Below are 23210 nucleotides of genomic sequence, written 5' to 3' on the forward strand. Positions count from 1 at the left end.
TAACACTGTAATTACTATTAATATTTTGCAATATACATTTTCACTTCTATGTTATGAATATTTAGTAAATATTAGGTATCTGTCGCCAGTTTTTATGACTTCACGGTATTCATACTTTTCATGTATGTACTACAATGTATTGAAACAATTTCCTATTGTAAGCCATTCAGACACAATAGTTTCTGGTTCTTCACTATTTATAAACAATTCAGTCATACATATCTTGTGAATTTGTTTTTTGTAACTTGTCTGATTTGTTTCTGAAGACCAGTTTCTCAACATAGAATTGCTGGATCAAAAAATATGAAATTATTTAAGGAAACACAATAGGATACAAAGCACATTGAGGTTATGCCATGAGTGGTGGTCAATATTGGCAAGAAAAAGGTTAGTTTGACCTGTGGATTTCCCATTTTTTTGAGGAATCTAAAGGATTTAGTGCTGCCTCATTTTATTTCAAAAAATTGATCCCCCCTTCCCTTCTAGTGGCACCAGGGGAGGATTCTCAGAACCTTGTGAAGATGTGCATTTTCTTCAGGGTAGAGCTAGAATGCTTGGGAAGAACAGAGGTAGAAAGACTAAAGTGATCACAGGAAAAAGAAAAAAAAAAGTTTGGGGGAAACACAGTAAGAGAAAATGAGGTCTCCAAAGTGCCATCTCAGGCAGATTCTGTATACACTGAAAGATAATCCAAAATAAGTGAATGTTTTATACCTCTTGGACTCTGATCACATGTGACCATGTAATAGTTAAATATTTTTTCTTACTGATAATGGCTCCTGAATAAGATGCCAGGTATAATAATCATAACAAAAGTATGGCAATTATGAAATGCACTGGCTATTTGTTCACCGATATTCATGTTCTCTTCCTCCTTGTCACTTGACATTTCCTAGGGTCCCTTGTAATTGAATTATGGTCAATGGAATGTAAACAGATATACTTCACATCTGTTTGATATGGGAATACATCTTCCTATTATTTTCCATGTTATCTTCCTTTCTTTGTCTGGTGATGGAGCCACATGATGGAAGAAGTCTTATTTCCTAAATGACTACATGAAACAGGACCCCTGGGTGACCTGCCCTGGACCATGACGTGAACAATGAATAAACTTTTATTGAGGCAAGTCGCTGATTTGGGGGTTGTTTTAGCAGTCAGGTAATACTGGCACACTTATATTTTAAATAACTCAAATTATCCCAAATGGTTGAGTGTTTCATTTAATTCTCATTAGATATTTGCCCTTACAGTGTTTCCTTGTATGACAGAAAGAGAAACAATTCCTGGTGGGACAATCCCTTAGTCTATCTTAGGGGCTACAGAATGGCAATGTACTGAAGCTGGAAATGGCTTTAGCCACTGTTCTGTCAGATATTTTCTAAACTCTAGGCTTTGACTAGGTAGACTAGAAATGTTTGGCAATTTCTCTCATTCACTAGGTATTTCCTGTTCAGCTGTTCACACTTGGACTCAGAATATTTAGAAATATAATTTAGGGATTGGTGTTCACAATTCTCCCCCAATCTTCTTTATTAGTCTCTCAAAATGAGGTTCGGTAACAAGACAGGGCAACATGATGTAATGGAAAGAACAGATAATTAATATTTGGGTTCTTGATTGCATTTGTTCCTTTGATTTTTTTTCTCTTTTTGCGTTGCACAAACCAACTAACATCTCTCTAAGACTCAGCTCTTTCAGTCTATAAAACAGGGATAATAATATCTGCAGTACTTTCTCAAAGTGTAGTTGTGAGAATAAAAAGAGATCATAAATGTGAGACTGTGTAAATATCTTTAAAGGACCATACAAATTCATGGCATTATAGCAAAAATAAATTATTATTATTATTATTATTACTATTATTATTGATTTTCTCCTTGGTGTAACTCTTAATGTTATGTGGATCTATGATGGGCTTGGGTGGAGGAAGATAATTAATGGGAAACAAGAAATAAAACGAGGCTGATCACAATGGTTTTCATCCTTGGCTGGCCATAGGAATCACCTATGATGCCTTATAAAATTCATGTACCTCAAAATTTTAGCTCAAGAGGACTAGAATGGGCTTAGATTATTATGTTGTGCAGCCAGAATGGAGAGTCACTGGTGTATAATCCAGCACAGTGGCTTCCTACTTGTATTAGACTTACCCAGAAATTTTGAAAAAATAGATTGGCCTGCAGTCCCTCTACCATCCCCACTCCAGATGTCCCAATTTAGTCAGTGTAAATGGGGTTCAGGAATTTGCCTTATGACTTGTCTCCCCATGTGTTCTGATGCAACTCAGTACATGGTTAGGGTGACTATATAATTTTTATAGTCCAAATTAGAACACTTTTGACTCATGTGTTATTCTGAATCCTCTGAGAAGCAGATGGCCAAATGGAGTTAGACATATGAGAAATGTATTAGGGGAAATGCCTATGAGAGAAAATAGGGAGAGGGCCAAAAGAGGCTGGAAGTGCTGTCAGACTTTGATGGAGGTCTGACCCCAAGTGAAGGAAAAAAGGAAGGGAAAAAAAGGATGGATAGAAGCACAGTGTAATTCTAAGAAAGTTCAGCAAGATAATAGGGGAGTCCTCAAGCCAAAGCTCGGTGTTAGAGAAATTCTGCACCACCCAGAAATGGGCAGGTGTCCTGCCATGGGGGAAGTGGAATCAACGCAAGCATGGAGTAGATTGCAGAGCATAGTACCTGAGGCGATCAATTACACCCCCTGCAGTTGAAGATCATAGAGGTATATTTTCACAGCCACCATGAACAAATATGGGGGCATCTTTAGTAATTTCACTCAGGCAGCAGGTGTAAATGAGAGTTGTTCTGTTCAAAGCAGGACATAAGGACACTTTCTCCGTGGTCTGCACTTGGGAAACACAAGGGTTAAGAGCTTTGTAATCAGTGGATATGATACGGAAACAGTTTTCAAGCTAGCCTACCTAATTTAACTGTAACTAGTTCCTTGGGGGAACCTAATTAACCTTACTAAACTTCAGTTTACTCATTAGCAAAATGAGAATACAACTAATTGCAACAATTGCATTGTCAGTTTGTTGTGTCGAGAAAAAGAAATTATATACATGAATCAATTAACATATAAGGTGCTCAGTCAATGACGCTATTAGTATTTTTTTAGTTTATCTGGAGAGATAATATATACCCCTCAAATATTATCCGTGCCAGCTCCAAGTTCCACCATGCAACCCATCCCATGAGGTCTCAGCGTTGCAGAATTAGATTGGACAGTAACAGGCAAACAACTTAGAAAACACTTGCTGATGGAGTTGAAATTTGAACAATTATCAGAGAAGCTTTACTTTCTTAGAGATGCCATTGTGTAAGGAGCCTGATCAGCTTTTTTGCAAGCCTAGCATTGATAATTTCTCCACAGTTCGTCAGAATTATTTTCTAGTCTGATACAAGAGCCACTAACTCATTTTTAAATCAGGGCTTTTTCCTCCTCTTCCTATGTTTGACTGCAAGAGACAGTACTTTTTGACTCTTCAGAGTATGGAGAATAGCTTTAGATAGTAAGTATTTTTAAATTGTAATAACAACAATACATAAGAAAATTAATGGAATTCATTTTAAGTCTGTACATTAAACATAGAGGTTATAAACTAGTCAGATATGTGTGGGAGGATTTTTTTCTAGTATGTACCAATTCAGAGAGAACACTTAAAACACTTATTGCTTATAATTTACAAAAGGTTTTTTTTGCTCTAATGTTACAGTTAAGCCCACTCTGAAAACAGTATCCACCACGCTACTAAACATGACAGGTTTTTACAATCTTAATTAGCTAGAGAATGCCCTTTTTGAAATGAGGTTAATTCCAGCTATTAATTTACCCCCTGGAGAACAAATCTGCCAAACATGCTTATTACCTGTTCCTGTGAACAAGCAGTTCATCCACTAGCATCCTCAACACTCTCTCTGCCAGCCTTTGGCCTCCTCTCTCCCAGTGATCCAGATGTGTCTGATGGTGGAGAAGGTTTTTTGCTAAGCGAGGTTTCTTTATTACTCTTTGATTTTTAAAAAATAAACAGGTTTATGAAAATATAATTCTAAATCCACATGTTTTAACTATTTAAACTATGCACTAAATGGCTTTAGTGTACTCATGTTGAGCATGAAAATGTTGAGCACCTTTTCATATGCCTGTTGGCCATTTGTATGTCTTCTTCTGAGAAACATCTACTCAAATCTTTTGCCCATTTTTGATTAGATTATTTTTTTCTATAGAGTTGTTTGAGTTCCTTATATATTATGGTTATTAATCCCAAGTCATATGGGTAGTTTGCAAATATTTACTCTCATTCTGTGGGTTGTATCTTCACTTTGTTGACTATACCCTTTGCTGTGCAGAAGCTTGTTAACTTGATGTGATCCCATTACTCTATTTTTGCTTTGGTTGCCTGTGCTTGCGTGGTGTTACTCAAGAAATGTTTTCCCAGACTAATATCCTGGAGTTTCCCCAATGTTTTCTTGTAGTAGCTTCTTAGTTTGAGGTCTTAGGTTTAAGTCTTTAATCCACTTATTTGATTTTTGTATATGGCGAGAGATGGAAGGCTAGGTTCATTCTTCTGCATATGGATATCCAGTTTTCCCAGCACCATTTATTGAAAAGACTGTATTTTCCCCAGTGTATGTTCTTGGCACCTTTGTCAAAAATGAGTTCACTATAGGTGTGTGCATTTGTTTCTGGGTTCTCTTTTCTGTTCCATTGGTCTAAGTGTCTGATTTTATGCCAGTACCATACTGTTTTGGTTACTATAGCTCTGTAGGATAATTTGCAGTCAAGTAATGTGATTCCTCCAGTTTTGTTCTTTTTACTTAGGATAGCTTTGACTATTCTGGGCCTTTTGTGGTACCATATACACTTTAGGATAGTTTTTTTTTTTCTATTTCTGTGAAGAATGTAACTGGTATGTTGATAGGAATTGGATTAATCTGTAGATTGCTTTGTGTACTATGGACATTTTAACATTAGTGATTTTTTTAATCCATGAATATGAAATATCTTTCCATTTTTGGTGTTCTCTTCAATTTCTTTCATCAGTGTTTTATAGTTTTTATTATAGAGATTTTTCACTTCTCTGGTTAATTTCTAGGTATTTAATTTAATGTGTGGCTCTTGTATTAATTTTAAATTTCTTTTTCACATTGTTCACTGTTGGCATGTAGAAATACTACTGATTTTTGTATGTTGATTTTGTAACCCACAACATTACTGAATTAGTTTAATAGTTTTTTTATGGAGTCTTTAGGTTTTCCAATATATAAGATCATATCATCTGCAAACAAGGATAATTTGACTTCTTCCTTTCCAATTTGGAAGCCCTTTATATCTTTCTTTTGTCTAATTGCTCTAGCTGGGACTTCCAGTACTATATAGAGTGACAGTGGTAATAGTGGGCATCCTTGTCGTGTTCCAGATCTTAGAGGGAAGGTTTTCAGTTTTTCCCCATTTAGGATGACACTAGCTGTGAGTCTGTTGTATATGGTTTTTATCATGTTGCGGTATGTTCCTTCTATACCCAGTTTTTTAGAGTTTTTATCTTAAGGGATATTGAATTTTATTAAATGCTTTTTCAGCATCAATTGAAATGATCATATAGTTTTTATCCTTCACTCTGTTGATATGATGCATCACATTGATTGATTTGCATATGTTGAACCATCCTTGCCTCCCAGGGATAAAACCCACTTGGTCATGATGGATGATCTTTCTAATGTATTGTTGAATTTGGTTTGGTAGTATTTTGTTGAGAATTTTTGTATCAATATTCATTAGATATATTGGCCTGTAGTTTTCTTTTTTGATGTGTTTTGGTCTGGTTTTGGTATCAGGGTAATACTGGCCTTGTAGAATGAGTTTGGAAGTATTCATGCCTTCTCTATTTTTCCAAATAGGTTGAGTAGAATTGGTATTAGTTCTTCTTTAAATGTTTGATAGAATTAAGCAGTAAAGCCATTGGTCCCAGGCTTTTCGTTAGTGGGAGAATTTTTATTACAGCTTTGACCTTGTTACTTGTTATTGGTCTGTTCAGGTTTTGAGTTTCTTCATGGTTCAGCCTTGGTAGGTTGTATGTGTTTAGGAATTTGTTCATTTCTTCTAGGTTTTCCAAATTTATTGGCATATAGTTGCTCATAGTAGCCACTAGTGATCCTTTGAATTTCTGCAGTATCAGTTGTAATGTCTCTGGTTTCATTTCTGATTTTATTTATTTGCATCTTCTCTCTTTTTTTCTTAGGCTAAATGTTTGTCAATTTTGTTTAAGTTTTCAAAAAGCCAACTTTTTGTTTCATTTATCTTTTGTATTGTTTTCTTCATTTAAATTTCATCTTCTCTGATCTTTATTATTTCTTTTCTCCTACCAATTTTGAATTTGGTTTTCTCTTGCTTTTCTTGTTCTTTAAGATGCATCATTAGATTGTTCATTTGAAGTTTTTCCTCTTTTTTTGATGTAGGCATTTATAACTATAAACTTCCCTTTAAGTACTGCTTTTGCTATATTCCACAGCTTTTGGTATGTTGTGTTTCCATTATAATTTGTTTCAAGAAATTTTTCAATGTTTTTCTTAATTTCTTCATTGACCCACAGGTCATTTGGGAGCATATTGTTTAATTTTCATGTATTTGTATAGTTTCCAAATTTTCTCTTTTTTTATTTTCTAATTTTATTCCATTGTGGTCAGAGAAGATGCTTGATATTATTTCCGTTTTTTGAATGTTTTTAGACTTGTTTTGTGACCTAACATATGGTCTATCCTTGAGAATGATCCATGTGCTGAGGAAAAGAATTTGTATTCTGCAGCCATTGGATAAAATGTTCTATAGGTTTCTACTAGATCCAGTTAGTCTATAGTGCAGATTAAGTGTGATATTTCTTTGTTGCTTTTCTGTCTGGAAGATCTGTCCAATGCTGAAAATGGGGTGTTGAAGTCTCCAGCTATTATCGTATTTGGGTCTATCTCTTTAGATCTAATACTATTTCCTTTATATAGCTGGGTGTTCCAATGTTTCTTCTTGTTTGTTTTAAATTATTTCAATCTCTTTGTTAAAGTTATCTGGTAGAATTTTGAATTCCCTCTCTGTCATGTTAAATTTCTTTGAGTTTCATCAAAACTGCTATTTTGAATTTTCTGTCTGAAGGTGGCATGTCTCTGTTTCTCCAGGATTGGTCTCTGGTGCCTTATTTACTTCATTTGGTGATGCCATGTTTTCCTGAATGGCGTTGATGCTAGTAGATGTTCTTTGGTGTCTGGACATTGAAGAGTTAGGTATTTATTGTAGTCTTCATAGTCTGGGCTTGTTTGTAGGCATCCTTTTTGGGAGGGCTTTCCAGATATTTGAAAGGACTTGAGTGTTGTGATCTAAGCTGTATCTGCTTTAGGGAGTAACCCAAGCCTAGTAATGCTGTGGTTCTTGCATACTTGTAGAGGTACTACCTGGATGATATTGGACAAAATCCAGGATATTTCTCTGGATTACCAGGCAGAGACTCTTATTCTCTTCCCTTAGTTTCTTGCAAAGAAACAAAGGCTCTCTCTCTGCTCTGAGCCACCTGATGATGGAAGTTGAGTGACATAAGCACTCCTGTGGCCACCACCACTATGACTGCACTGGATCATACCTGAAGCCAGTACAACACTGGATCTCTCATGAGGGCTGTTTTACCCACCCCCTGGATACTGCCTAATTTCATTCTAGGTTCTGGGGCTCTAGAAGCAACCAGTGGCAATATCAGCCAGGCCTGTGCCCTTCCTTTCAGGGTGGTGAGGTACCCTAGACCCCAGGTGTGTCCAGAGGTGTTGTCTGGGGGGTCAGGGACTAGAGTCAAAAACCTTAAAAGTCTACCTGTTGTTCTATCGTACTACAGCTGAGCTTAGTCAAACCACAAGACAGAGTTTTTCCCACTTTTCCCTCCCCTTTCCAAAGGCAAAGGAAGCTTACCCCATAGTCACCACCATCCCAGGCCATGAGGAGTACTGCCAGAATACTGCTGATGTTCCGTTAAGGCCCAAGGCTTCTTAAATCACCTTTGATGAATGCTGCCTGGCCTGGAACTCACTTTTCAGGGAAGTGGGCTCCCCTCTTGCCAAGGGCAGGTCCAGAAATGCCATCCAAGAGTCAAGTCCTAGAGTTAAGGACCCCAAGAGCCCGCTTGGTGCTCCAACCTCCCATGGCCATGCTGGTACCTAAGGTGCAAGACAAAGTCCCTTTGACTTTTCTTTCTACTTTTCTCAAGCAGAAGGAGTTTTTCCCCATAGCCACCACAGCTGGTAATGTGTTGAGCCTCACCTGAAGCCAGCAAGTCTCAGAGGCTCACCCAAGGCCCTCAACCTGGGTATTGCAAGTGATGAATGGTGCCAGGACTTGGTCTTTTCCTTCAAGGCAGCAGGTTCCCTTCTGGCCCAGGGTGTGTCTAGAAGTGTCTAGGGCCTGGAATTGGGGCCTCATGACTCTTACTGGGGCCCTATCCTGATGTGGCTGAGCTGGTATCCAAGATGCAAGACAAAGTCTCTCTCTCTCTCAAAGTCCCTCTCCTCTCCTCAAGTAGAAGGAAGGAGTCTCTTTTGGAGTCATTAGCTGTGTAGCCTGTAGTTAGGGAATGGGTGATGCCAGCACTCCCTTAGCTGCCCTGGCTGATGTCTCAGTATGGCACCTGCCCCCTCAGTCCACTGTCTCTGGGCCTAGTTCAGCACTAGGACTCACCTAAGAGTTGCAATCCTTGTGGCCTAGACTACCTTTCAAGTTTACCTGGAGACAGACAGCACTGTAGCCCTAGGTGATGAGGTTTGCAAGAACTCTAGTTTGGACTGCTGGGCTTGGTGATTCCACTCTGGCTAGGGCCTGTTTAAATGCTCCCTGCGTGGGCGGGTGTAAGCCGAGTTTGGTCCGGTTTTCTTTTCTGCCCTACCACGACAGCACTGAGTTCAATGCCTCACAATTGTTGTGTTCTTTTTCCCTCAGAGCCAAGAGATGCTCTCCGCAGCAGGCCACACTGCTGGGGGTAAGGGAGGGGTGGCGTCCGCCATTCAGAACTATTTTTTCTATCTCTTTAGTGCTTCTTTCAGTGATATGAAGTTAAAACTAGGTATTATAAGTGCTCACCTGATTTTTGGTTCCATGAAGATTTTTTTTTTTTCCTGTGTAGATAGTTGTTAACTTGGTGTCCTTGAGGAGGGGACAATTGGTAGAGCCTTCTGTTCTGCCACCTTACTCTCCCTTTCTCCTGGAATTGTTTTCTTATAAAGAGTTGTTTATTGAAAGTTTCACAAAAGGCCATTTTTTTTTAACTTTGAGTTGGGACTTCAAAAATCATGAGTGATCACAAACACACACACAATTTCAAATCTAGGTTATTCATTGCAGAGGGCTGCTCAGGGAGGGAAATATCCTGTCACATCCAAAAGATTTGGCATACTCCCGGTTGCTAAGAGTGTCACTACCAATTACTTTGCTTGTAAGGCGGCTTCTCTACAGATTCAGGAAGCAGGTGAGGTCTGTGATGGGCTCCTCAACTCCTCTTTCCTTAGAGCCTCATCTAAAGCTTCCCAGAGTTCTCTTAAGGCAGCCCTACTTTTCTGACATTCCTTGGTTACCATGTGGCCACCATGTGGCCTCCTACCCGAGTTTGACTTTGCTGATCCGTATCCTGAATGTCTCATTCTCAGCTACCCAACCACCGACCTCAAATTTTCTGTGTGATGACATTTTTATTAGCACAGAAGTCAGCATACAGTGGCAGACTTTGGTAAGAAGATGGTACGGGCAGGAGATGTGACCACAAAAGCAACATAGGCTCCAGAGATGTGGGAGAACTTCAGTGAGAGGTACATTTATACAGGCAGAGGCAAGATTCAGAAATAAGGTCAAGGGAAAATGGTCATGAACAAGGATGAAAGCAACAGTAATTCATAGAGCAGGCTTAAATGTCATCATGGTTTGGGACCATGGTAGGATCAATAGACAAGATAGTCGGAGGACTGAACAAAAAGCAGAAGTCAGCAATGAAGCCAAGCCTCAGACAGTAGCAATAGAAATGACATTAATTCAGGTCTCAGTCACTTCCTTCAGTTACCATCAGCTCAGCATCTTCCCTTTGAGGTGGCCCCCCAAGTTCTTAAAGGATCCAGGGTTTTAGTGTCAGTCAGAGTTCAATCAGAAAAGCAGAATCATTGGGAGATATTTCTCCCTATCTCTATCACTATCTCTTTCCCTATTACTATCTCTATCTCTAGCTATATCTATGTATTTACAACTATAGATAGCTCTATTAAGGAATTTATTATTGGAATTTGACCTTCTGCAATTTGTGGAAGTAGATTAAACAGCCCATATGAGGCTGTTGCTGATGAATCTAATGCTGGAGCCCAAATTCTCAGGACTTGCAGCCAGGAAGGGAAGACAAACATAAAGTAGAGGAAACAAAGATAAACTGGAACTTGCAAAGCTGAGCTGGAACACATGAAGATGAACTAGAACCATGTTGGTCTCTCACCATAAACTTTATGCCTCCATCTTTGATGATGAAGCTTTCCTGCAGAAGTTAGCACCTTTCATCTCAGAGATAAACACCTAATTTTTGAGGGAATTGGAGAAGCTGTAAGAGGCAAGAGATTGAGCAGTTATGGCCCAGATGCTGCCTCACACTAGGGTGAGGCAGCAGATGGGAGTGAACCTGTGTGAGCTGAAATAGCACCTTATGCCCTATACCGATAATTCAAGAGTAAGAAGAAGATGGTTCTGCTTCATTTATATCATCATCTCTTGCATCATATGCAAAACATCTCTTGTGGCCCACACTAACCCAGAAATACACAGGGAAGGAAACTCTGGAGAAATATTGTACTAGCTTTGCTAAGTTGACACAGAACAAATCTACAATGCTTGTCAGCACAGATCATGTTTCTCACTGAAAAATTCCTTATTTTTCCAGGAGCATTTGTTGTCACATCTTCAGAAAAGAACCCCCACTCTGTAGGGTTCACGTTCCCAGTAGATGGGTAGAACCTACCTCAAGGCTTTCTGGGGCAAGAATTGTGATAGCTGGGATCTTAACTGGAGCCCTGAGGAGCATTTTCCACTTAATCAGCTTAAGGAATAAGGCTAAAAGGATGGGATTTCTCAGTCCAATGACATAAAATAGTTCCATAACTCATAAGGCTAGCCCTTTGTATTCTCATGGAGTATAGTACAGACTCACACACATTTTAACCACAAGCTGTACTCCTGTGAGATTTGCTCTTAAGTAAAGATGAATGAAGCAGATGAGGAGGGAGAGGGTTGCTTGGTATATCTAACTGGTTTGCCTTAATGGTTGTGACCATAGCTCTCTAAAAAGAACTAACAGTGAAGAGTAAACAGACATGGAGTGGAGGGACTACTTATCCCTTCCTTAAGGCAAATAAATCCCCTTCCTTCAGGTACTGATTTAGGATAACTTTTACAATGTAAAAGTGAATGCACCCAGCATTATCCGTTTAATTTTCTTGCTTGTTTTGTTTGTGATCATTGTTAATTAATGGAGGTAAAGACACTACAAAAAGAAAAACAAAACAAAAAATAACTGGCTCTGGATGGCTATATAAGAATAATTTTGAGTTTAAAGGGATTCCAAGAATAAAAACAATTACAGGTCAGCCTTGCAAATTGTCAGCTGCCCTAGGCCAAACATGATTTATGTGTGCAGTAAAGGATTCAGCTTGTTTCTTGATCTGCCCTAGGATTCCATTTTTCTTCTACTAACTATGACGTCCCTCCTCCATACACATAAACCCATCCCTGTCACCAGCAACTTTGAAAAACAAAAGCAGTTTTGCAATGTTTGGATCCTGGTAAATTTCATATGCTTATTTTCAACAAATGGCCTGGATAAGAGTTTCCAATAAACTACAAACCAAGCTTATTTTGTTTTATTCACGGAGCAAAAATCTTTTCTAACACACAAGTGAACAAGATCATGATTTATGTATCAAGAATTAAAAATATATTCTTCATCAAAATCTATAACTTATATCTTTATCTGGAGTAAGCAGTTATGGTAACTAAATACCTGCATATTTTTTCACTTCTTTGTTACATGATTCCCCTTGTTAGGAACCCCTTTGGAACCAAAATGCCCTATATTCTTAATGACTTGTGGAGCCAGATTTATCTTTCTAGTTTCATCCCTGTTGAAATCCCATTAGAGGAGATGGCCTATTGTTACATTTTCATTGCAAATTGCACACCTGATATTTTAGGACATTTAATAATTAAGTGAGCAGCAGCATGACTCCTGAGTAACTGCAAAATGATTTGACAGCAATTGAAAAAGTGTATTAGCCTATACTTTAGATCCAACAGCTTCTTATCTAAGAGGAAAAGGTGCCAGCACCCTTTCAGAGAATTAGATGGAGGAGGACACATTGACACTAATACGGATTGGAGAAAACCAGGCAATATGAGCATGGGCAATCTCTAAAGATTTTTTTTGTAATTGGGAAGTGAGAATACTTTACACAGTGATGAGGATGTTTGTCCTGTTTTTGTGATGTGTGTCATGCATTATTATCCTAGCTCAAAGTATATATATATCCACATATCCAGTATTAGGAGGCAGGATTGTTTGTTTGTTTTATTTTATTTTTTCATGTTGTTTTGCAAATACAATCTCTGGTGAGGAATAGATAGTTCTTAACTTTAGGAAATACACAATCTAAATACTGAACTAATAGAAAGTCAAGGATGGTTAGAATTAGCAACCAGGACACTAGCCTTTCCAAGCTGATGCTAAATCCATACTGACTTTCCCCTAATAGTCTCTTCAGGCCTATTTATTTTCACCCATCATTGGAAAACATACTTCTGACTTTATTTTCTTTAGCTCTCAAATAAGAAATCCTTGGTTTGCTTGTGAGATTTTGTCTAAGAGAGCAAACATTGACCTTGTCTACATTTCAGTTATTAGAAGTATTAACCGTAATAGTTATAACCTTTTCAGCTATAAATATGACATACATAAGGACACAACTCAGTTGAAATTCTAAACAATGAATAGATTATTTTTCTCGCCTACAGAGAAATGAACACCTTTATACCATACATGTGTATCATGTATAGGAGTCAGATTTTAGCTAATTCAACAAGGAGGGCTTGATCAAATCTCCCCCAAGGACCATTGTTATTTTAATTTTGAAGAATTCAGAAATTTAGCTTCTCAATTTCAAGATTCTACTAGAATCAGGAATACAATTAGTCTGATAATCACATTGCTCTAGAATAACATTCTTAACATCTGTCCATATAAATGCCACTTACCATTAAGATGAACAGTGACTGGTTTTGAATTTTGTTTTGCCCACAAATCATTGTTAAACTTGAAGTTTCTTTACCTTTGGCTTATAGAGTGGGGATTCCTTAAATAAATTTAAGGAATTGTTATGGAGACTACAGGGCAACACTCCTCTTCTTTCATGATATCCAAAGGAAGAGAACTCTACTAAAAAGAGGTCTGGGCACAAAACTGAGTACGAGACTCAGAGGTTTGCAAACTTAGTTGTGCCACTAACTTGGCTTAACCCTGGATAATACAAATTATGTCTATGTGTATGAGTTTTCTCATCAGGAAAGTGAGGTATGATCTTTGTTTGCCCTACTTCTCTGTGTTTTGATGGCCTAAAGAGGAATGAAAAAGTACTTTGCCAGCTGCAGGACATCATGCGAAGCTACAATCTTACAATATGAGGCTTCCTGTGAGTGACAAGGCCATTGGAAGTCAGGAATACCTCATGGTAAACAAATCTCTGACCATGCTTTTCTCTAAATCAATTGTTCCCAACCCTAGCTGCATATGGGACAGCTCTAAAATATTAATGCCTGGATCACACCACCAGTGACTCTGATGTCATTGGTCTGGGGTGTGGCCTAAGCATAAGGATTTCTAAAATCTTCCCAGGTGATTCTAACCTGCTGTCAAGGTCAAGAAACACTGCAAAGTATTGTGGAGTAATGACTTTTGGATGCCTGACTCTTGCTCATACCTTATGCTACTTGTCTGGCTTAAATGCTGGCCTGTAGAAACATCCTCCCAAAGCTTCACTGGATCCAGTTGTAGAAAGTAGAACACTGGGATAGGATCAGAAAACCTACATGTGAGTCCTTGATGTGTCACCTTAGAGCTGTGTGACTTTGGGCAATTCATGACTATGCCAATGATAATAACAATATGACAGCTAGCATTTATTGTACATCAATTAATGACTAATAATTAGAAATGGTTAACATGTCCAGTCTCCAATAACAACCCAAAGTGGACATTATTTTCCCATTTTACATCAGAGAAAACTGAGGCCTCATCATATTGAATGACTTACCCATGTTTTTCCTTATTTGCAAAATGGGTATAATAATAACCTGTCATACATAATAATGAGATAAAAAAATGTACAGGAAAGTTATCTGTAAACTAAGGCATTGTACATAAATTTAGCAAATATATAGCCATGTGGATAAAGCTTGAGATTTTGCTTCAAACAGTCTTGAGTTTCTTTCCCAGTTCTGTCTACATAATTGCAGGACAATCTTAAGAAGTTTATTTAGCATCATTTTACTGTGTTTTTAAAACCACATAATGGGAGATCTTATTGTCTTCTTTTATAGGATTATTGTGGATTACAGATAACGTACTTAAAAAGCAAAGCATAGTGCCTGGCACTATAGCTCAATAAAAGCAGCTATTGTCATTTTCAATTGTTGGGGTCTCTATAGATCAGGTAGTTCCTGCTTCCAAATTTATGATTAATACCTATTGAAATCTTTCTGTGTCTTCGTTGTTAAAGTATTATTATTGTTAGAATTCTATTTCCATCCTGGATTTTGAATCATTAGGGTTGGGTTTTGGGCTTTGTATAAAGTACACTTAAAGACCTTTTGGTCTATCTCTATATTTAAACAGAGCCTACTGTTTGGACAATCTCTTTTGAGTAAGAGTGGACAAATGGCATATCTCCACTTTCATTGTAGCAGGACCTGGAAAGTCAGTTCACCTTGGCCACCATACTCATCATAATCCTGGTCAGAATATTCACTAGGAGCTTCAATATTTACAGACTCTGAAGGAATTTGCAGACACTGTGTCTCAGCTCCATTTTGCATAGGAGAATACAACTATACCTAACAGTCATTACAGGGAAATTTGAGCCCTCTCCCTGTTCAGTCTCTCAGTTACCTACATACCCAATCCACTTACCACAGGTCACTGAAGTTTTCTTTCAAAGATGCAAATTTAATGATCGTTTTTGTTTGATTCTTCCTTGCTTTCAGGACAAAGTCTAAACTTTGCCTGGAATGTCTTTTTTTCTTTGTCTTGGCAAGTAACCAAATACTTCCCCTCTCAGCACCAGTGCAGACTTCACCTGCTCTGTGAGGTCTCCTCCGACTCTCCGAGGCTGGACTGCATGCCCCCATGACACCTGCATCAACCTCTAAACAAGCATATTGCCTTGGAATTGTAGGTTTACAATTCTAGAATGTGAGCCCCAATGCTATGCCTTACTTATCTTTAAACTCTTACTCTGAGAACAGTGCCAGTTCCATAACAGGGGTTCAATAAACGTTTAGTAAATGAAGTAAATGAAGAAAATAAAATATCTAACCTTGTAAAAATTGTGTACAAAGTTAGAGTAAATAGACTTTGAGTTAAGGCTTGAGGACCTTTCCTATATATGAATTGAATAAACTTAGTGTATAAACTTGAAGACCTTTATTTAGAGTATTTGATACTTTTTGATTACTTTCTGAATATTAACTATGCTGTGGGTAGTTGATATTATTTGATAAGTGACTTTCCAATATGGATATTGTAATATGCTCAAGATTCAGCATATGATATGCATTATAAAAAATAAAAACATAGTTATTACCTTGATATCTATTGATAAATATCCTTGACAGGAGTAAGGAACCTCCTTCCTCCTACTCACTCAGCAACTAGCTTGGACAGGTCAATTAACTTTTCTGGGCTTCAGTTGCCTACAAATGAGAGGCTTGAAATAAACAATGTCTAAATTTTCTGCCAGCTCAAACATGCTATAATCATGTAAAACCATGCTCTCAAAAAAGGGTTGATGTGTTTTGCATTGCAGAGCTTTTTCTAACTTGGATATTTGATTTTGACTCTATAATAAACTGAAGGTCCCTTAAAAGAAAGATCATGAATGCAGGGAGGAAGGTTCAGGTAAAGATTATCTTAAAAAAGGAGCGAAATAGAGTCAGGGTGGAAAGTGAGATTTGTGACCCAGCCTGTCTTTTCTCCCTCTATCTTCACACTGTCCTATTTATTTTTTAGGGCAAGAGATGAAAGTAGGTTGGACTTGGAGGGGGATGGGCAGAGGGGCATCCTGCAGCTGCAGTTTCCTTTCATGTCCCCCTTAAACCCAGTGACAGGATAGAGGAAAAGCTAATTGAGGTGAGATGACTTCCCATGTGCCTGAGGGTCCTAAGCCCTTTCATCTCCCGTTTCCCTCTGAACATTTAAAACCTGCATAATGACAAACACCAAGACTACAATCCTGACAGGGCTAGGCTGAGCATTTTGTGCTCAAAAAACGTTCTTTCTAAACTCTGGGGCCTGGGGGATTTGCGAGGGGAGATTGAGGACTTCATTGCCTCTCTCCCTTCCAGATGAAAAAGCAGCTGCTTGTGGAATTTATGTGTTGGTGGTTTGACAGACATGAAGGTGGAAGTACCTGTGATCGAGTAAGCAAATGAGAGGCTGATTTCTCCTGAAAGAGATGGGAATTGCACTCTCTAAGGAATGCAGTATGACGTGGGAGTGCCTGAGCTAGTCCTCAGAAGGCTCTAATGGGATTCTCTTCTTCACTTTTTTTAAGCCCCGAGGCTCTGTCGTACAAGGCTATATTCTGCTGACTGAGTGTGCTGACGAGGTGGTTAACAAGTGCTCTGTTAGTTCTTAGCAGGCAGGAGTTTTCAGTTGTTTCAGCACTTACTCACCTTTTAGCTTCTCTCCAGTATGTTTGGATTCTTGGTTGTGCTTTGTTTTGTTTTGTTTCATTTTGTTTTGTTTCTGATAGTTTATGTGGTAGATGGATGGAATGATTTTTGAAAACGACCTTGTGGGCTTCCAGTTTCCCCATTACATTGGGGAGTTTGTCAAGAAGAGCACCCATTCGCTCTATCAAATAAGTGGCTATGGTCATTTGTAATGGTCTTCACTGCAAATGATAACCCTTAATCTCTTCACCCCAGACTGGATGGGCACCATATGTTTGCAAGGTACTTACTTTTTGAACCTGGATTTTCTTGTACTTGGAAATGTGGTATCTTTGGACAAATGCTGTAGTAAGTAGCAGAGCCAATGGGCACCTTCTCACCCTTCAGAGCACCAGTTTTCTCTGGGGGCTCCCAGAACACGTAGGTTATCTTCCAAATGCTTTTTACATTCACATGACCAGATTCCCCCTAACTTTTACATTTTGTTTTATTTATTTGTGTTTTGAATTAGTGCTACATCTACATGGCACAAAATGGAAAAGGTACAAGAGTATTTTGTGAAAAGTCTTCCTCTTATTCCTGTCCCTCAGCCTACCTGTCCTCTCCTTCAGAGGTAACTTACCAATGTTACTGTTTTCTTTCTGAATCCTTCCAAAGATATTCCATACTTATACAAGCAACTACGTACACAGGATATTTTTACTCCTTTACAAACCCACATGGTAGCAGAGCATACACAGCTAGACCCCTTGCTTGATTCACTTACATGTTTCAGAGATTTTTCCATCATCAATCCATATACACATACCTTATTCTTTTTTTATAGCTGCACAGTATTTTGGGCCTTGGATTTACCATAGTATATTTAACCAATTATGAGGTCATCCATAACTTAGAAATATGTGCACAGAAGACATTGTTGCAAGGAACAGCATCACCGCACAGTTTCCTCTTATCTTGTTCCAGCAAGTTATATGTTATTTGTGCCTCTTCCCAGGGGCACTAAGTTTGGTGCTAAACCTCCCCATAGCTTGAAGCCTGCACACACATGCACACAAACAAACACACACACCACCTCTCTGCCACCAGACCCCTGATGCCTGGGAACCATTTTTCTTTTCTTTAGTGAGAAGGCTAGATTTCTAACCTCTTGACCTATATTATTTTATTAGTAGCACTACTTTTATATAGTTCTGGCATTATGCCCTGGACATGGGAAAAATTTGTTCCAGCATTGCTAGGCCATTTAAGACTGTGACATGTCACTGGAGTATCATGGTAAGTAATTGCCATGTTACCCTATTCCCTATCATACGTGTATGTCATCAAGCAGCCCTACTGTACCTAGACATTACAGGTCACAGAGAAATCACTACAGCATCCTGGGTTGAGAATATAAATTTTAGTTCTAGGAGTTGGATAATTGTAATATCTTTTGTATTTAACAGTGGCTATTGGTTTCTTAACATAGCTCAGCTTATATAGATACTGAGTCTCCCAGGGCAGGAACCATCACCTGCCTTACTCATCTTGTTTCCTTTAATGCTTAACACAGTGCCTGGCATCTGAAAAGCATTCACTATAGACTGAAAGATTTGAGTATTTGGAAGAAATATTAGAAAGATAAATCATTTTGAATTTTATATAAGATCCTTATATATGTTAGGGTTTGATTAGAGAAGCAAAACTATAAGCAATATGTAAAGGATTTATTACAAGAATTTGACTTACATAATTAAGGAAGCTTGATTTTTGTATGATGGTTGCTTCTGCACCTGGTGCTGGGTCTGACGTCAGCAGGACAGGTAACTGGGAAGGAAAGATGGACAAAAAGTAAGAGAAAGTAGGGACGGACTAGAACCCATCTGAGGAAAAGCCAGGATGTGTGCCAGTCTCAAACTTCTCTCAAGCCTCCAACTTCAATAATGCAGTGACACGAAGGAGAATTCAATGCCCTTCCTCATAATGCTGAACATGGATTTGATGCAGGAGTCAGAGAAGTTAAGGGAAAGACATACTTGTAGTTGGAGGAAAGATAGATCTGACTTTTGCCCCAGAAGCTGCATAAAGTAGTCCAGGATTTGGAGAAGCTCTAGAAGATCTGGCAGGAGCTGGAGGAGCTCTGGGACCAGCTGCTGCCCTACACCAACAGGGCGAGCCAGCAGATCAGTGACAATGTGTGGGAACTGCAACATCACCCTGTGCCGTGCACTGTCCTTTCAAGTGTAAAAAAGAATATGGACACTGCTTTACTCCACTGTGCAAATCTTACCCAAAATGTCTCTTGTGACCTATGTGAACTAAAAAGTATGAGAGAAGGGAATTCTGGGAAACATAGTTCCAGGTTAGCTAAGTTGACAGAATAAATCCACCATCAGCAGGGTTTGCTTTCTTTTGATATCACCCCAAATCGGGTTATCTAAAAGGAAGCATTCACAGACTAAACTAACCTCCCAATTTAATCCTCAATATCTATAGAAAGGCAAAGAAGAATACTATATCTTTCTATTGCTCCCCCAAAATAGTATTTTTACCCTCATGGGAAACCTATGGTTTTACTGGGAATATTACAAACCCCTTCCCTGGAAGAATCTACTTTACAAAGGCAAAATTATTCACCTCCAGATATCATAGAGCTTAGTTCAAACAGGAAAAAGAAAAAGTCTTGTTTTTCCAGTAGCTGTTCCTTCTGAGTTCAGTATTTTTTTCCCAGCCCACTCAAAGTTAAAAAAAAATGTTGTGCATATAAGCTATTTTTTCTTCTTCTTGAATTTACTTTCATTTTATTCTTAAATTTGCTAAAAGCAGTAAAACAACCTGATAGTAGATCTCAGAGAATCTAGCAATGCTTAGACCAGCCTGACCAACATCACGAAACCCTGTGTCTACTAAAATCGTAAAAATTAGGTGGGCATGGTGGTATGCACCTGTAATCCCAACTACTCAGGAGACTGAGGCAGGAGAATCGCTTGAACCTGGGACGCGGAGGTTGCAGTGAGCCGAGATAGTGCTACTGCACTCTAGCCTGGGCAACAGAGCGAGACACCGTCTCAAAAAAAATAAATTAATTAAATTAAATTAAATTAAATTAAAAGGAGGTATTTTCAGCCTATTCCAAAGTTGCTCAGTTCTATTCAGACACTGTGGTAGGGTGCACAATTGGTACTAATTTTTACTTCTTTTTGTATTTCCACCTTTGTTGTGGGACTTGTGACTTTGCAGGTCCTCTGATTACAGGGACCAAGTCTATTTCCTCAGCAGTTGACTTTGGGCTGGGCTGTGTGACTTGATTTGGCCAATAGCATATTGGCAGAAACAAGAGTAGCCAGTTCTGAGTCTAGGCCCTAAGGGGCCTTGTGTCTTTTGCCTGCCCTCTTGTACTTCTGCCATCCCCTAAGAAAGGCTTCTCCTGGGTAGTGCGACCCCTCAGCCAAAACCACAGAGGAGGCAAACATAGAACAGAGCTGTTCCAAATGACCTGAAGATCTGTGAGAACAAATGTCTGTTGTTTAAAGCCAAACGATTTTGGGCGTGGTTTGTTATGTAGCATTTTTGTGGAAATACCTGCTTGAGTTTTCTTTTGCTATGTAACACCGCCCTCAAAAAAAAAAAAAATACTTAGTGGCTTGCAGCAACAATCATTTATTTGCTCACAGATCTGGGATTTGGGCAGAGCTCGGCAGGGAAGGCTCCTCCCTCTTCCACATGGGGCAGCTTGAAGGAATGTGGAAGACTCAACTTCCAAGAAGGCTCACTTGTGACTGGCAAGTTGGTGCTGGCTTCCAGCTTGAGCTCACTGGGGGCCTCTTCACATGTACCTCTCCTTGGCTTTCCCACACATGGTGGCTGGGTTCCAAAATGAGCATGTTAAGAGATAGAAAGTAGAAACTGCCAATTTCTTAAGTCTTGGACCCAGAAACTGGTTCAGCCTCACTTCTGCCATATTTTATCAGTCCAGAATTCTCAGAGCCCATAGTCAAGGGCAGAGGATATAGAACTTGCTCTGTGAGGAATGTCAAAGAATTTGGGGGCCATGTTCTAAAACTGCTACAATATTTAACCAATATAGACATCTTGAAGCTTAAACTCTTCAACCAGAAAGGGAAAATAAATCTCTGGGGGTGAAAAAAAAAAAAAAAGGGAGGAGTAAGAAACAGAAAAGACACGTGAGAAATATCACCCATTTCACACTCGTCTTAGATGTTTCTAAGTTTCTACTCTAGGAACAAAGCAAAAGAAGAGACCAATATTTCTGCGGCCCACTTGGCAATTAGAAGCATTTTTTTAAGAGTTTCAACTTGAGAATTTTGAGTAGGAAGTTGACAAAATAAAATCTGGGTCACGGTGATGTCATGGATAGAAAAATCATTTTATTCAGGTGATCTGGCTCTGCCCCGATTCTGTACTACCTTCCTATGACCTCCGGCACTGGCATGTTATTTAACCTCTCTGGGTCTCAGGTCTTTCATCTGTAAATGGAGTGAACAGGGTGGTATTTGAGGTTTCTTCCTGTTCTGACACTCTATAAATCATTGTCATTTTCTTTATGACTCTGACATCTAAATGATGGCCTGGACTTTCTATATTTAACTCTCCAGAATCTATTTTTTGCTGCATGCCCTTGATAATGAATGGGATTCCTTAGTAAAACTAAACCTTAAGGTCTGAGCAATAATGAGCTTCAGAATAATGATTGCCAGGCTGAGTGGGACAGCCACACTAGCAGCTGAGCACTCACTTCTCATTGTAATTAGAATGAAATGAAAACACCTTTTTTTCCTCCACTTTAGAATGGAAAGGAAGACTAACATTTTCAAAGGGAAGTTTACCAAAAGCTAAGAAAACAAAACAGAAATAATTGCCCCAAAATAAGTAGCATAAAATATTCATATCTAAAATACAGGAAATAAAAGCAATAAAGAGTTTTTCTGTGCTGAAATCTCCTTATGCTAAATAGCTATCTCCTGTCCCTGTGGTGCTGTGGATTAGAAGTGATAAAACGTGGGTTCAAATCCCAGCTCTGCTATTTAAAACTTTTACCTGGGCCAAGTTCCCCAAGCATATTGAACCTTAATTTCTTCATCTCTAAAATGAGAATAATCATATCTATCGCTGACAGTTGTTGATAGGATTAAATTAGATAATATAGGCAAAATAACAGGCTCATAGAAGGTTGGCTTAGCTTGGGGTCTCTGAAAAGCAGACCCCAAAACAAGGATTCCAGTGTACATGGTTTTCGAGGAGGTTCAGGGAACACATCCAGGGAAGTAGGGAAGTGAGGGAAGAAAAGGCAGCCAATAAGGGGCATGATTATTAAGACTGCTGCCAGAGTGACTGAAGCTTAATCCTCTGGGAAAACTCTAAGAACTGGTAAAAAATACATGCTTCAGATAACTCCACTCAGGAATAAACAAGGCTTGGGTATTTATACACTGACTTCTGTCAGTCATTGATTGAGGGCTACTTTTGAGGTTGAGAATTCCCCAGCACTTATGGCCTGCTGTGGGAAAGTACCGGTGGTCCTCTGGCAAAATCCCTCGGGCATGAAGACAAGAATACTGGCAGGTGGAAGTTGTTCAGAGCATATTAATATGTAAGGTCTCAGGAGCATAGACAGTGCACGGATATTATCTGTTGTAAAAGTACTTACCAAATCTTCATTCCTAGTACAGATTGGTGGCACCGAGCTGGATTTCCTTTTCTGCAGAATCTTAATTGTGCTTTCTGATCAGAGAGACATTCCTGTTTCACTACTTAAAAGACAACAGTGAGGGCCGGGCGCGGTGGCTCACGCCTGTAATCCCAGCACTTTGGGAGGCCGGAGGCCGAGGCAGGCGGATCACGAGGTCAGGAGATCGAGACCATCTTGGCTAACACGGTGAAACCCCGTCTCTACTAAACATACAAAAAATTAGCCAGGCGCGGTGGCGGGCGCCTGTAATCCCAACTACTCAGGAGGCTGAGGCAGGAGAATGGCGTCAACCCGGGAGGCGGAGCTTGCAGTGAGCCGAGATAGCGCCACTGCAGTCCGGCCTGGGCGAAAGAGCGAGACTCCGCCTCAAAAAAAAAAAAAAAAAACAAAAACAAAAAAGACAACAGTGACTAACATTAATTCATTGCACTTGGGTGAAGAAGCTGTCATCATAGACCCCTTTCCCCTCTGCCCTGCTACCCCAATCTCAGCGCCATGAGCCAGACACAGCTG

The 23210-nt window shown here is 39.1% G+C and overlaps 1 long non-coding RNA gene across 1 annotated transcript; it reads right to left on the reverse strand.

Annotated features, from left to right (window-relative positions):
* Positions 1 to 18699: 18699 nt before the first annotated feature.
* LOC124905258 (uncharacterized) lies at positions 18700 to 22990 on the reverse strand. Its single transcript, XR_007068410.1, has 2 exons — positions 22656 to 22990; positions 18700 to 18814 (listed from the first exon to the last, which is right to left on the reverse strand). It is a non-coding gene; the product is annotated as an uncharacterized LOC124905258 (long non-coding RNA).
* Between the last annotated feature and the right edge of the window lie 220 nt (positions 22991 to 23210).

Source organism: Homo sapiens, chromosome X (genome assembly GCF_000001405.40).
Source record: "Homo sapiens chromosome X, GRCh38.p14 Primary Assembly".
In the NCBI taxonomy this organism is placed as follows: Eukaryota; Metazoa; Chordata; class Mammalia; order Primates; family Hominidae; genus Homo; species Homo sapiens.